Below are 12,643 nucleotides of genomic sequence, written 5' to 3' on the forward strand. Positions count from 1 at the left end.
AAAAATTAGCCAGGTGTGGTGGCGTGTGCTGGTAGTCCCAGCTATTTGGGAGGCGGAGGCTTGAGAATTGCCTGAACCTGAGAGGCTGCAGTGAGATAAGATCATCCTACTGCATTCCAGGCAGGGTGACAGAGTGTGAGTCTGTCTCAAAAAAAAAAAAAAAGAGCATCTTTTTGTGTGCTTGTTATCTGTATATCTGTTTTGGTAAAATATCTGTTCAAATATTTTGCTTGCTTTATAATTGTTTTCTTTTTAAAATTTTTATATTTTTAGACAAATTCTAAAAGAGCTGTAACACTGTTTGTTTTCTTATTATTGAGTTATAAGTGTCCTTTATATATTCTAATTAAAATGCTTTGTCAGATACCTATTTGCTGACATCGTCTCCCAGACTGGGTCTTGCCTTTTCATTTTCTTAACAGTGTTTTTTGTAGAGCAATATGTTTTAAATTTTGTTGAAATCCAATTTATTGAATTTATGGGTCTTTTTTTTTTTTGAGGTGGAGTCTCACTCTGTTGCCCAGGCTGGAGTGCAGTGGTGTGATCTCCACTCACTGCAAGCTCTTCCTCCCGGATTCTCGCCATTCTCCTGCCTTAGCCTCACTAGTAGCTGGGACTGCAGGCACCCGCCACCATGCCCGGCTAATTTTTGTATTTTTAGTAGAGACGGGGTTTCACTATGTTAGCCAGGATCATCTCCATCTCCTGACCTTGTGATCCGCCTGCCTCGGCCTCCCAAAGTGCTGGGATTACAGGCGTGAGCCACCGCCCCAGCCGAATTTATGGGTCTTATTCATTTATTTATTAATATTATTTTTAGGCTCATTCTCCCTTTAAATAAGGCTTTCTGGATCTTATTTTTAAAATGTTGGGGCCGGGCACGGTGGCTCACTCCTGTAATCCTAGCCCTTTGGGAGGCCAAGGTGGGTGGATTGCTTGAGCTCAGAAGTTTGAGACTAGCTTGGGCAATATGGTGAAACCCCATCTCTACTAAAATACAAAAAAAATTAGCCGGAGGTGGCCACGTGTGCCTGTAATTCCAGCTACTTGGGAGGTTGAGACAGGAGAATCACTTGAACCTGGGAGGCAGAGGTTGCAGTGAGCTGCCATCGTGCTATTGCACTCCAGCCTGGGTGACAGAGCGAGACTCTGTCTCAAAAAAAAAAGTTGGCCAGGTGCAGTTGCTCATGCCTGTAATTCCAGCATTTTGGGAAGCTGACGTGGGCAGATTGCTTGAGCTAGGGAGTTTGAGACCAATCTGGGCAACATAGGGAGACCCCATCTCTACACAAAAAAAATACAAAAATTAGCTAGGCATTGTGGCGTGTGCCTGTGGGCCCAGCTACTCATGAAGCTGAGGTGAGAGAATTGCTTGAGCCCAGAAGGTCAAGGCTGCTGTGAGCTGTGATCACACTACTGTACTCCAGTCTGGGTGAGAGTGCAGAATCCTGTCTTTAAAAAAAAAAAAAAAAAGTTTACCTCTCCCAAAGTGTATTTGTCAGAGTTTTCCAGGGAGACAGAACCAATAGGATATGTACATAGATAGATAGATAGATAGATAGATAGATAGATAGATAGATGTAGATATAGATGTAGATATATGAGAAGAGATTTATTAAGGGAATTGGATCCATAATTATGGAGCCCAAGAAGTCCCTTGATTGGCCATCTGTAAGCTAGAGACCCTGGGAAACTAGTAGTGTAGCTCAAGTCAAGTCTGAAAGTCTCAACCGGGGTTGAAATAAGTTGTTGGTGTCACTCTCAGTCTGAGACCGAAGGCCTGAGAATCCGTGTGGGGGTAAAAGGTCTGCTGATATAGGTTCCATAGTCCAAAGGCCAGAGAGCCTGGAGTTCTGATGTCCAAGGTCAGGACAGGAAGAGTGCCCCAACTATAGGACAGAGATAAGTGAATTCCCCTTTCTTCTGCCTTTTCTCTTTCTTTTTTTTTTTTTTTTTTTTGAGAGGGAGTTTCGCTCTTGTTGCCCAGGCTGGAGTGCAATGGCGTGATCTCGGCTCACCGCAACCTCTGCCTCCCGGATTCAAGCAAATCTCCTGCCTCAGCCTCCCAAGTAGCTGGGATTACAGGCAGGCGCCACCACGCCTGGCTAATTTTGTATTTTTAGTAGAGACAGGGTTTCTCCATGTTGGTCAGGCTGGTCTCAAACTCCCGACCTCAGGTGACCTGCCTGCCTTGGCCTCCCAAAGTGCTGGGATTACAGGCGTTAGCCACCGTGCCTGGCCTGCCTTTCTGTTCTATCAGAGCCCCAGATGATTGGATGGTGCCCAACCACCCTGAGGTCAAATATTTCCCACTCAGTTGGCAGACTCCTGTGCCAGTGTTCCCTGGGAACACCTTCATAGACACATCCAGAAATAATGCTTTAGCAGCTCTCTAAATATTCCTTAATCCAGTTCATCTGATACCTAAAATTGAAAATCATACAGTCTCCTATTTTTTTTGTTGTTGTTGCATTTTCTTTGAGATGGAGTCTCGCACTGTTGCCTGGGCTGGTGTGCAGTGGCACGATCTCGGCTCACTGCAACCTCTGCCTCCCGGGTTCACATGATTCTCCTGCCTCAGCCTCCCGAGTAGCTGGGACTACAGGCGCACGCCACCATGTCTGGCTAATTTTTGTATTTTTAGTAGAGATGGGGGTTTCACTATGTTGGCCAGGCTGGTCTTGAACTCCTGACTTCATGATCTGCCTGCCTTGGCCTCCTAAAGTGCTGGGATTACAGGCATAAGCCACTGTGCCCTGCCGTTTTTTGGGGTTTATTTGAGATGGAGTTGCGCTCTATTGCCCAGGCTGGAGTGCAGTGGTATAATCTTGTCTCACTGCAACCTCTGCTTCTGGGTTCAAGCAATTCTTCTGCCTGAGCCTCCTGAGTAGCTGGCATTACAGGTGCATGTCACCACTCCCAGCTAATTTTTGTATTTTTAATAGAGACCGGGTTTCACCTCATTGGCCAGGCTGGTCTCGAACTCCTGACCTCAGATGATCCGCATGCCTCGGCCTCCAAAAGTGCTGGAATTACAGGCGTGAGCCACTGCACCTGGCCTGTTTTATTCTAAAAGTTTTATAGTTTTGGTTCTTTATGTTTAATTTTGAGGGTTTTTTTTTTGTATATGGTATAAAAATAAGGGTGAGGTTTATTCTGTTTATGAAATGTTGAAAAGATTATTTTTTTCCCCATTGAATTGCTTTAACATCTTACTATAAATGAACTTAGCAAGTATGTGTGAATCTGCTTTTTGGATTCTTTATTTTGTTCTGCTGATCCAATAGCATGTCTTTTCACCAATATCACATTTTCTTGTTTAAGATAGTTTTATGATAACTCCTGAAGTCAAGTAGTATAAGTTTCCATAATTTGTTCTTCTTTTTCAAAATTATTTTGCATATCCTTCATATTTCTCTATATATTTTAAAATAAACTTGTCATTTTATATAAAGAAACCCACTTGGGGCCAGGCACGGTGGCTCGTGTTTTTAATCCCAGCACTTTGGGAGGTGGAGGCAGGTGGATCACCTGAGGTCAGGAGTTCGAGACCAGCTTGGTCAACATGGCGAAACCCTGTCCCTACTAAAAATATAAAAATTAGCCAGGCGTGGTGGCAGGCACCTGTAACCCCAGCTACTCAGGAGACTGAGACAGGCCAATCGCTTGAACCCAGGAGGCGGAGGTTGCAGTGAGCCGAGATCATGCCACTGCACTCCAGCCTGGGTGACAAAGCAAGACTCTATCTCAAAAAAAAAAAAAAAAAGAAAAAAAAACCTACTTGGATTTTTTAAATGCCTTAGAGACAAGGCATACCAATTTATTTAATGCATATACACAGGCACCTTCAGAATGAAGGTCCACCCCACTTGGATTTTTATATTTTGAGATGGAGTTTCGGTCTTGTTGCCCAGGCTGAAGTGCAATGGCATGATCTCGGCTCACTGCAACCTCCGCCTCCCAGGTTCAAGTGATTCTCCTGCCTCAGCCTCCCAAGTAGTTGGGGTTACAGGCGCACGCCACCACGCCCAGCTAATTTTTGTGGGCCAAGATTGCACCACTGCACTCCAGCCTGGGCGACAGTGTGAGACTCCATCTCAAAGAAAAAAAAAGAAATGTAAATGTATGACTTTGATGAGGGATGAAATGAAATCAGGAATTGCTCAACAGAGCAAAGTTAACGGCCCAGAGGGATTAAACCCATAGCTTTGACCTCAGCATCACAGTATTGAAAACAGGTGCTTCTTAGCTTGATTCAAGTAAAATTTGTTTGGTCAAAATTATATGCACAGTTTTGCATAATACAAAAAGAAAACGTTGATCTCTATTGACCGTGATTAGTGGAACACATCTAAAATTGACTGACCCCGTAAGAGGGCAAATATGTGAGATAATCCCATTATTCCCTTGCATCTCCCTCCTTACCATGGCAGAAACCATTAATGGATCACAGCACTGTTTCTCAAAGAATGTGTATACAGGTACTGTTTTTGTTTCTTTTCTCAGGCACTGTTTTTCGATGAGTGGTGGCCCTGGGTGAACTCAGTCTGCCTTTCTTGAAGTAGAGAGAATTCCTCTATCTGTGATTACGGGGTTGAGATAACTTGCAAAATACTTTTATGCTGAACTGTCAACCTTTGCATTCCGTTTACCTGAGTCTACTGGGCCAAGGATTTTCCATTTGTTTTTGCTACTCCAAGTCTATGGACAACTTTTTAAAAATTTTTTTTTCAGAGACAGAGTTTTACTCCATCACCCTGGAGTACAGTGATGTGATCTTGGCTCACTGCAAGCCCCGCCTCTTGGGTTCAAGCGATTATCCTGCCTCAGCCTCCCTAGTAGCTGGGACTACAGCAGCACGCCACTAGGCTTGGGTAATTTTTGTATTTTTAGTAGACACGGGATTTCGCCATGTTGGCCAGGCTGGTCTCAAACCCCTGACTGACTACAAGTGATCCGCCCGCCTTGGCCTCCCAAAGTGCTGGGATTACAGGAGTGGGCCACTGCGCCCAGCCAACAACTTTTGGATTTGTACAAGAAGAAAGTGTTTTGGTTAAGAAGTCTCCCATATTGATTCTAACTCATCTCAGATTGGGGATTAAATCCAAATCAGTGCAATAGGGGCTTTAAATAGGGTATAATAACTAAGTTGTGAAGGTTTTAAATTCAGGTAGAAACCCTGATCCCACCTCCTATGGTGAAGCCTAAGGCCTTAGGCCTTTTGCTGTCTTGTAGGTGCAGCTGAGAGTGTATCCATTGTACTGTCAGCCCTGATGCTAAACCCACATCAACATAACCTATAGTAAATTTACCCTCAATTCAAAGGGGACACATTCTGAAGTTCTCTGAAAGCCAGTATTTATAATTACAAGAGTGGTTACCACCAAATTAATGTTGATGTGAATTCCTTACTTTTGTCTCTCATTTTCCAGTCCAAATAACTTTATATCATCCATATCAATTATTCAATATTATATTACTTATTCACTATAATAGATGGGACTGAAATTATCCTTCTCGCTTTGTAAAGTCTCCCTTGGTTACATCATTGTACATATGATGTAACCAAAGTTCAAAGTGGCAGTACCTTGTCCAAGGTCACAGTTAAGTCTGCCTCACCAGGTAGAGTTAGGAGTTGAGAAGAAGTCTCCTAATTTAATCTACTCTACTTTTTGCCCAATCTGCTTGTCACCCTTTGAGGTCAGTTCTCCCACCACTAGTTTGCTATTTCAGCTGTTTCTGACCACTGGCCTGATCCAATGCATTAAGGATACTTTTCTTTGTGCTGAGCCATACAGAACTAATTTTTTCTGGTTTTTTTTTTTATTTTTTTTGATTGCTATGATATTTAGAAGGGTGAAAGACAGAGATAGAAGCCCTGGTAGGGAACAGCTGCTTCTATTATTGTTTATAGGATTCATTGAGCTGAAAATTGTGATGTATCTTTGGTTTCTCCTTTGTAATTGCTCTGAGAGAATAGATGCCACAAATTCTGGATAGTTTGGGAGGATAGGGTGCTTGACGGATTCCACTTTAGAGTTGTTGGGTTGAGATAAGGTGACAGGGGTATGTCCTGGTAGAAAAGAGATGCAGATTTGGAACTTAGAAGAAAGATCAACATTAAAGATACAGATTAATAAGGCATCTATATATAGGTGCATGCTTAACAGGGAATAGTAGCTGAGATTGTCAAGTAGAAATGTACACAGAGAGAGACTTACAGCTAGACCTCAGGGATGCTCACATTTTGGGGACTGAGGGAAAATCAGGACGAGCCTGTGGAGGAGGTTGAAAAGAAATGGTGGGGAGAAAACCAGCATCACTGCACTGGGACCCTGCCAGTTCCTGCTTGGCCATCAAAGGTTTGCACCTTCAGCACATAGGATAGTGACAGGCACATAGTTGGTGCTCAAACAACTTTTGTTGAATGACCAAATGTGTGGAATCCAAGAAAGATTTTCTAGGAGGAACCTTAAGGTCAACAGTCTCCAGTGTGGAAACAAGGCTGGAATGATGAGGGAAAATTTCATTGAGAAGGAGATTTTGGATCCGAGGACTAGGAAATCATTAGTGACTTTATAACATGCAGATTACAAAGGCGTCACTACACACTTAGGCCGTAAGAACTTGTGAAATGCAGACAATAAAACTTAATTCCTTGGATTAGCATAAAGATTCAGTGATATAACTAAATTGTGTTAAATACTTGGCCCATCCCCTGGCACAGAGTAAAATGCTCACATTTATTCATTCAATTAATATTTATTGAGTGTTTACTCTGGGCCCAGGTATGGTTGTAATATCTGCAGATAGAACAGTGCCTCAGACAGAGTTTGAGCTTTTGTGAACCTTATATTCAATATCAGGTGGGAAGCGGTAATAACAAACAAAAAATGTGTGATAGTGACAAATGCTATGCAGAAATGAGAGGGTAGTAATCTGATGGTGATGACTTGGCCACTTTAGGTAGGTTGGACAAGAAGAGTTGATATTGACTGTTATTGTTGTAACTATTGTAAGTTCTCCCTCTTTTCTCTTCAATTGCTCACTGCCTTACACACTGTGTCATCATGTCACATCACATTTTTCTGCTCAAAACACTTCCATGCCTTCCTGAGTAACTTTGTAAGTTGTTATCTCCACTCAGCCAGCAGAAAAGTGTGGCTCCCGCTTTAAAAGCTGGCTTACAGCTCTGCGAGGTGCTGTAGAAAAGGCAATCCTTGCCGGAGGCAAAGGCATTTACACCTTCCAGGGAGATACATGATTAGAGAAGGCAGACACAGTGGAGGGGGTCGGTAGGAGGCTAACTGGAACTTTATCTATTAGAAGAGGAAAGGCCTTTGAAAAGTGAATTAATGATATTTATAGCTGCATCAGGTAAGTAGCTGGCGAAAGCTTGCTGATACTGAGGCCAAGGTTGAATTCCCATATGGACCAGCGAATTTCCTGTGGAGAAACTATGCTATTCACTCACTGGCACTGAAACTTAAGCTAACACATAATCTCTCTGAACTTCAGTTCTCCAGTCTAAAATAGAGACATGCATCCCATCTGCTTGCCTCATAGGATTATTATGAGGAACAAATGAGAATGGATAATAAAGTGCTTTTTAAAGTCATAAATTTCAAATATGATCTATTATTATTACTGATTACATTATATTTCAGTGGCCATAAGTACCCTCTTTCCCCACTTCTGCAGTGTATCAGTGTATTTGCTATCTTTCATAGCAGAGATTCAACTGCACCTTGAATGACGCCTTATAAATCAATCGGTAGCCTTTCAATAGGCTCATTATATTAACCCTGAGTCAGAAAGATTCTTTCTTTCTTTCTTCCTTTCTTTTCTTTTCTTTCTTTCTTTTCTTTTCGCCTTTCTTTCTTTTCTTTTCTTTTCTTTCTCTTTCCTTCTTTCCTTCTTTCTTTCTCTTTCTCTTCTTTCTGCCTTCTGTCTTTCTGTCTGTCTTTTCTTTCTGTCTTTCTTTCTCTTTCTTTCTCTCTCTTTCTCTGTCTCTTTCTCTCCTTCCTTCCTTCTGTCAGGCCTCTGAGCCCAAGCCAAGCCATCGCATCCCCTGTGACTTGCACGTATACGCCCAGATGGCCTGAAGTAACTGAAGAATCACAAAATAAGTGAATATGCCCTGCCCCACCTTAACTGATGACATTCCACCACAAAAGAAGTGTAAATGGCCGGTCCTTACCTTAAGTGATGACATTACCTTGTGAAAGTCCTTTCCCTGGCTCGTCCTGGCTCAAAAAGCACCCCCACTGAGCACCTTGCGACCCCCACTCCTGCCCGCCAGAGAACAAACCCCTTTTGACTGTAATTTTCCTTTACCTACCCAAATCCTATAAAACGGCCCCACCCTTATCTCCCTTCGCTGACTCTCTTTTCGGACTCAGCCCGCCTGCACCCAGGTGAAATAAACAGCCATGTTGCTCACACAAAGCCTGTTTGGTGGTCTCTTCACACGGACGTGCATGAAACCTTCCTTCCTTCCTTCCTTCCTTCCTTCCTTCCTTCCTTCCTTCCTTCCTTCCTTCTCTCTCTCTCTGTCTCTTTCTTCCCCTCCTTCCCTCCCTTCCTGCCTTCCTTCTTTTTTATATATTTATTTTTTTCTGAGACAGGGTCTCCGTCTGTCACCCAGGCTGGAGTGCAGTGGCGTGAACACAGCTCACTGAAGCCCCAACTTCCCAGGCTCAAGCTATCCTCCCATCTCAGCTTCCCCGCATAGCTGGGACCACAGGTGTGTGCTAGCACACCTAATTTATATATTTTTTATTTAATTAATTTAATTTTAATTAATTCATTTTTATTTTTTTATTTTATTTATTTATTTTTTAGACAGAGTCTTGCTCTGTCACCCAGTCTGGAGTGCAGTGGCATGGTCTTGGCTCACTGCAACCTCTACCTCCCGGGTTCAAGTGATTCTCCTGCCTCAGCCTCCCGAGTAGCTGAGACTACAGGTGCAGGCCACCACACCCACCTAATTTTTGTATTTTTAGTAGAGACGGGGTTTCACTATGTTGGCCAGGTGGGTCTTGAACTCCTGACCTCGTGATCCACCCGCCTCAGCCTCTCAAAGTGCTGGGATTACAGGTGTGAGCCGCTGCGTCCAGCCTTAATTATTTTTTGAGATGGAGTCTCGCTCTTGTCGCCCAGACTGGAGTGCAATGACGCGATCTTGGCTCACTACAACCTCCGCCTCCCAGGTTGAAGCGATTCTCCTGCCTCAGCCTTCCTAGTAGCTGGGATTACAGGTACCCGCCATCACACCCAGGTAATTTTTGTATTTTTAGTAGAGACAGGTTTCATCATGTTGGCCAGGCTGGTCTCGAACTCCTGACAGGTGATCCACCCTCCTTGGCCTCCCAAAGTACTGGGATTACAGGCGTGAGCCACCGTGTCTGGCCTATTTTCTTTTTAGAGACTGTGTTTTGCCATGTTGGCCAGGCTGATCTTGAATTCTTGACCTTAAGTGATTTGTCCGCTTCAGCCTTTGAAAGTGTTGAGATCACAGGTGTGAGCCACTGTGCCCATCTATTTTCTTTTTTTTTTCTCCTTTTTTTTTTGAGACGGAGTGTTACTCTTTCACCCAGGCTGGAGTTTAGTGGCACCATCTCGACTCAGTGCAACCTCTGTCTCCTGGGTTCAAGCGATTCTCCTGCCTCAGCCTCCTGAGTAGCTGGGATTACAGGCATGCGCGACTATGCCCGTCTAATTTTTGTATTTTTAGTAGAGACGGGGTTTCACTATGTTGGCCAGGCTGGTCTTGAACTCGTGACCTCAGGTGATCCCCCTGCCTCGGCCTCCCAAATTTCTGGGATTACAGGCGTGAGCCACCACACACCAACCTCCTTCCTTTTTTTGTCTGAGATAGGATCTCACTCTGTCTCCCAGGCTGGAGTGCAGTGGCATGATGATCACGGCTCACTGCAGCCTCAGACTGCTGGGCTTTGGATCAACCTGAGGGCAATCCTCCTACCTCAGCCTTCTTAGTAGTTGGGACTAGAGCATGTACCACCATGCCTGGCTAATTTTTGTATTTTTTGTAGAGAGAGGGTTTCTCCATGTCACCCAGGCCGTTCTCAGACTCCTGGTCTCGAGTGATCCTCCCACCTCGGCTTCCCAAAGTTCCGGGATTATAGGCATGAGTCACCACGGCTGGCCAGGAAGATTATTTTCGTAGAATGAATACAATATATATTCTCAAGTGCCATGCTTGAGCCTACTACTGCTAGTTCTGGCTAAATCTTGGTTTTACTTATTTTAAGTATGTCATATTCAGTTGCGGTGTTCCTAATACTCCTTGTGTGAATTTCCTGTGTTCCCCCTGCCCCACCCCCAATGTATAACGAGTCCGAGGCTGAGTTACCTCTGAGTTTTTTCTTTTTGCCTGATCTGTAGAGAACTAGAAATTAGGTTATTTGGCATTGCTGATGACAACTATATGGCACAAGTACCTTCACTCCAATTCTCTGCTTATCATGGCCACTGCTAATTGATGATTGCCCTGTCCTATCAATATTGCTTAACAGTGCTAATATGGTAACCACAGGTCACATGTAGCTACTGAGCATTTGAAATGTGGTTAGTCCAAATTCAGGTATGCTACACAGGTAAAATACATACCAGATTATGAAGACCTGGCACACAAGAAAAGAATGTAAAATATCTCATTAATAATTTTTTGTATTGATTACAACTTGAAATGATAATAGTTTGGATATACTGGGTTAAACCAAATGTTATTAAGATTAATTTTATATATTTATTTCACTTTCAAAAAAGTGATTACTAGAAAATGTAAAATTCTATATGTGGCTTGCATTCGTGGCTCAAGTTGTATTTCTACAGGACAGCACTGCCTTCAAATCCTACTTAAGACAGTTCCCCAGGCAGTCACTACCAACAAACCAGAAACAAAAGCAGTAGTATTTTATGGGAATGGGAGAGAGGTCTACAGAGTTTGAGTTTTCAATCTTAGAATGAAAAAAAAAAAAAAGAACCTTTTGCCGGGCACGGGTGGCTCATGCCTGTAATCCCAGCACTTTGGGAGGCCGAGGCAGGCGGATCACTTGAGGTCAGCGTGGCCAACCTGGCGAAATCCCGTCTCTATTAAAAATAAAAAAATTAGCCAGGTGTGGTGGTGCACGTCTGTAATCCCAGCTACTTGGGAGACTGAGGCAGGAGAATCGCTTGAACCCGGAAGGGGGAGATTGCAGTGAGCGGAGGTTGCACCACTGCACTCCAGCCTGGGCGACAGAGTGAGACTCCGTCCCAAAAAAAAAAAAAAAAAAAAAAGAGAGAAAAAGAACCTTTGAGTTTATCTAGTTAAGTGTTTCCCAAACATATCTGTTCATTAGAAACTTCTGCGATCTTAAATTATAAAATTACAGATTTCCAGGTTCCCACCCTGGGGATTCTAGTTTAATAGATCTGGGACGGAGGCCCCGGATTTTGTATTTTTAGTAAGTAGCCCAGGGGTTTCTGATGTGCGGCCAGGTTTGAGAACTCCTGAGCTAAAACATTTTTACATTTCAAGGATGGGACTTTCCTGGGGTGACATGTTATTATTGGCAGAGCTAGGACTCGAGCACATGTTCCTCCTGGATTATATTTTGTACTACTGCGACCTAAGAGTCTTTGCAGAACTCACCATGGAATGATCATCAAACTGCCTCTCAGCCCGCAGGCACAATGCTCTTCCTTATTTGGAGAAAACTCAGTGTGTCTCAGCAGCCCCCTCTGCTGTCAAAAATCCCTAGCTCAGTCTAGCTGAGCGGGCTTTGGGGAAGCGAGCAGGGAGGAGAGCGAGCCCAGAAGAAAGTAGTGTGAAAAATGCTGCTATGGGGAAACCCGTTTGCAACCTGGAAGTGATTGGAAGAAATCTTGCAATAAGATCCTTAAAGCTGGATGACATGTGGGGGAAATCTACCTGACTGCCTCCTGGTCTGGAGGAGAGAATTTGTTTTGTTTTATTTTGGTTTGTTTTGTTTTGATACAGGGTGTTGCTCTGTCACGAGAGCAGTGGTGTGATCACAGCTCACTGCAGCCTCCAAATCCTGGGCTCCAAGCGATCCTCCCACCTCAGCTTTCCGAGTAGCTGGGACTACACAGGCGCCTGCCACCCTGCTCTGCTAATTTTTAATTTTTTTGGGTAGAGATGGGGGTGAGGGAGATAGGAGTCGGGGGGGATGCTTGCCTTGTTGCCCTGGCTGGTCTCGAACTTGCGAGCTCAAGCAGTCCCCTCTCCTCGATCTCCCAAAATGCTGGGATTACAGGCGTGAGCCACCGTGTTTGGTCTAGAGGAGGGAATTTGAACAAATTATTTCACTTCCCTGGGCCTCAGTTTCCTCATCTGAACAAGGGCCATAATGACACGCTCTGTCCCTTTTCTTCCTCAGAAACTATTTTAATAGTCTAATTAACTAATGGGGATGGTGTTATCAATGTTTGGTCCAAAGACACACAGCTATTTAGAGATAGAGCTGGACTTTGAACTCCTGGTTCCCAGTTGAGATGTATCATACAATTTCTGCTAACCAAGGAGAGATGTGTTCAGCTGCTTCTAGAGGGACAGAGGCAAGAAAAACTTACAAGGGAGGTTGAGGCTGGCTTCATGCCTAAATGAATTAAAGCC

At 43.8% G+C, this 12,643-nt stretch overlaps 1 pseudogene, besides 3 other annotated features; it reads right to left on the minus strand.

Annotated features, from left to right (window-relative positions):
* Window positions 1-270: 270 nt before the first annotated feature.
* Window positions 271-300, minus strand: LOC124901193 (uncharacterized; annotated as a pseudogene).
* Window positions 7,669-8,316: an enhancer, noted in NCBI's record as "OCT4-NANOG-H3K27ac-H3K4me1 hESC enhancer chr5:157371897-157372544 (GRCh37/hg19 assembly coordinates)". NCBI's record gives its function as "activates a minimal SCP1, AML or CMV promoter by ChIP-STARR-seq in primed H9 embryonic stem cells {active_cell/tissue: H9 hESC(primed)}" and the evidence as "EXISTENCE:reporter gene assay evidence [ECO:0000049][PMID:30033119]".
* Window positions 8,317-8,964: an enhancer, noted in NCBI's record as "OCT4-NANOG-H3K27ac-H3K4me1 hESC enhancer chr5:157372545-157373192 (GRCh37/hg19 assembly coordinates)". NCBI's record gives its function as "activates a minimal SCP1, AML or CMV promoter by ChIP-STARR-seq in primed H9 embryonic stem cells {active_cell/tissue: H9 hESC(primed)}" and the evidence as "EXISTENCE:reporter gene assay evidence [ECO:0000049][PMID:30033119]".
* Window positions 11,581-11,875: an enhancer, noted in NCBI's record as "identical tiled regions #4109 and #11482; K562 Activating DNase matched - State 4:PromP". NCBI's record gives its function as "activates a minimal TATA promoter and a strong SV40 promoter by Sharpr-MPRA in K562 cells {active_cell/tissue: K562}" and the evidence as "EXISTENCE:reporter gene assay evidence [ECO:0000049][PMID:27701403]".

The sequence above is a fragment of the Homo sapiens genome, chromosome 5 (genome assembly GCF_000001405.40).
Source record: "Homo sapiens chromosome 5, GRCh38.p14 Primary Assembly".
In the NCBI taxonomy this organism is placed as follows: domain Eukaryota; kingdom Metazoa; phylum Chordata; class Mammalia; order Primates; family Hominidae; genus Homo; species Homo sapiens.